Raw genomic sequence first — 2,986 nt, forward strand, 5'->3', positions numbered from 1 at the left:
GTAAATTTGTTTAAGTTCCTTGTAGATTCTGGATATTAGCCCTTTGTCAGGTGGATAGATTGCAAACATTTTCCCCCATTCTGAGGTTGCCTGTTCACTCTGATGATAGGTTTTTGCTGTGCAGAAGCTCTTTAGTTTAATTAGATCCCATTTGTCTATTTTGGCTTTTGTTGCCGTTGCTTTTGGTGTTTTAGTCATGGAGTATTTGCCCATTCCTATGTCCCGAGTGGTATTGCCTAGGTTTTCTTCTAGTGTTTTTATGGTTTTACATCTTACATTTAAGTCTTTCATCCATCTTGAGTTACTTTTTGTATAAGGTGTAAGTCAGTGGTCCAGTTTCAGTTTCCTGCATATGGCTAGCCAGTTTTCCCAACACCATTTATTAATTAGGGAATCCTTTCCCCATTGCTTGTTTTTGTCAGGTTTGTCAAAGATCAGATGGTTGTAGATGTGTAGTGTTATTTCTGAGGCCTCTGTTCTGTGCCATTATTCTATATATCTGTTTTGGTACCAGTACCATGCTGTTTTGGTTACTGTAGCCTTGTAGTGTAGTTTGAAGTCAGGTACCATGATCCCTCTAGCTTTGTTCTTTTTGCTTAGGATTGTCTTGGCTATATGGGCTCTTTTTTGGTTCCATATGAAATTTAAAGTAGGTTTTTTCTAATTATGTGAAGAAAGTCAATGGTAGCTTGATGGGATAGCAATGAATCTATAAGTTACTTTGGGCATTATGACAATTTTCATGATATTGATTCTTCCTATTTATGGGCATGGAATGTTTTTCAATTTGTTTGTGTCCTCTCTTATTTCCTTGAGGAGTGGATTGTAGTTCTCCTTGAAGAGGTCCTTCACATCCCTTGTAAGTGTATTCCTAGGTATTTTATTCTCTTTGTAGCAATTGTGAATGGGAGTTCACTCATGATTTGGCTCTCTGTCTGTTATTGGTGTATAGGAATGCTTGTGTGTTTTACACATTGATTTTGTATCCTGAGACTTTGCTGAAGTTGCTTATCAGCTTAAGGAGATTTTGGGCTGAGATGATGGGGTTTTTTAAATATACAATCATGTAATCTTCAAACAGAGACAATTTGACTTCCTCTCTTCCTATTTGTATAGCTTTATTTCTTTCTCTTGCCTGATTGCCCTGGCCAGAACTTCCAACACTATGTTGAATAGGAGTGGTGAGAGAGGGCATCCTTGTCTTGTGCCAGTTTTCAAAGGGAATGCTTCCAGCTTCTGCCCATTCAGTATGATTTTGGCTGTGGGTTTATCATAAATAGCTCTTATTATTTTGAGATATGTTCCATCAATACCTAGTTTATTGAGAATTTTTAGCATGAATGTGGTGTTGAATTTTATCGAAGGCCTTTTCTGCATCTATTGAGATAATCATGTGGTTTTTGTCATTGGTTCTGTTTATGTGATGGATTCCGTTTATTGATTTGCATATATTGAACCAGGCTTGCATCCCGGCGGTGAAGCCGACTTGACTGTGGTGGATAAGCTTTTTGATCTGCTGCTGGATTCGGTTTGCCGGTATTTTATTGAAGATTTTCATCAGGGATGTCAACCTGAACTTTTTTGTGTGTGTCTCTGCCAAGTTTTGGTATCAGGATGATGCTGGCCTCATAAAATGAGTTAGGGAAGAGTGCTCCTTTTTTTCTATTGTTTGGCATTTCAAACTTTAATTGTCCAAAACAGAATTTTGATCATTAGTCTCTTCAAACGTTTATCTCCCATTGTTTGCACCTTAGTGAAGTGCACATGCCATAGTCAAAGACAAATATTTGGGATCATCCTTGGTTCCTCCTGATGTATTAGCATGGCTTGTTAAATATCAACTTGAGATCAGTTCTACTTGTGTTCATCTAAACTATAATCTAAATGCTCATCATTTTCTACCTGAACTGATTTAACATCCTTATAATTAATCTTTTTTGTGTGGGGAGGGGGACTGCCCTATAGGACTATTTTATGTCCAAAAGATAGTCTCATGTTTTTTAAAAGTAAAATTTGGTGATCTACTACTCTATTCTCTGTCCCACCTTTACTCCTAACATCGGCACACACTCTTCAGTGGCTTAACATTACTCTGAAAATATAACTAAGTTCCTGGCCCCACTCTATAAATCTCCCTGTGATCTAGCTCTTCCCTGCCTCTCCAGTCCTGAATCTACAAGGAAAAAAAATCTTAAAAATACTGTTATAGATTCACCCCTAGAAACACCAGACATTCAGATAACTCAATTCTTCCACATACCCACTAATCTAATCAAGCTCTGAATATATTCTAGTCTATATACTTCTCACACCTCTTCTCAATTCCAGAAAATCTTCTACAATGTCATGTGTAATTTAAAGACCATGAGCAGCAAAATATCCTATTTTTTTCAACCTCTTCTCTCAAAGCTTTCCTTAATTCATTGTACTATAAAATAAAACAAGCTAGCCAATGAATCTGCTTACCTAAACATGTTTCTGCAGAAATTTTTATTTTAAAAAGCTGGTAATAGTAAAGCCATTTATGAGCCTTAAGTATATTGAAGTTGTTAAGATCCCTGAAAATGGCTATAACAAATTAAAAACATAATTATAATAAAAATTAAAAGCCTGGCTTCTCCCTGAGGACAGTGTTTTCCCTGCTGCCCTCTAGGGTAGTATAAGGTATTGTGGTGATTGTTAGGCTGGGAGGTGTAGTAGAAATGCTTTTGTTCCTCTTTGCCATTTTTATAAAATTCTACAATTTGTCTCCTAAAGATATAGCTTTGAATCTCATTTCCATGGATTATATCACCTACTACTCTTCATTTGCTTTTGTCATCTTCAGATCCCAGGTATTCTATCGCATGTTTTCCAAGGCATCTGTTCCCAGCTCCATATCACTCTTTCCACACTACTTCAGTCTTAATTCTGGTGATTTCAGTATACGTGTACATAATCATACATAACTCTCAGGCCCTTCGTTTCCTTAATTTACCTTCCAATG

The 2,986-nt window shown here is 36.8% G+C and overlaps 1 non-coding gene across 1 annotated transcript; it reads left to right on the top strand.

Moving 5' to 3' along the window:
* Positions 1–2,442: 2,442 nt before the first annotated feature.
* Positions 2,443–2,576, top strand: LOC124900225 (small nucleolar RNA SNORA33). The gene has a single exon (XR_007059952.1). It is a non-coding gene; the product is annotated as a small nucleolar RNA SNORA33 (small nucleolar RNA).
* Positions 2,577–2,986: the final 410 nt, after the last annotated feature.

The sequence above is a fragment of the Homo sapiens genome, chromosome 6, assembly GCF_000001405.40.
Source record: "Homo sapiens chromosome 6, GRCh38.p14 Primary Assembly".
In the NCBI taxonomy this organism is placed as follows: domain Eukaryota; kingdom Metazoa; phylum Chordata; class Mammalia; order Primates; family Hominidae; genus Homo; species Homo sapiens.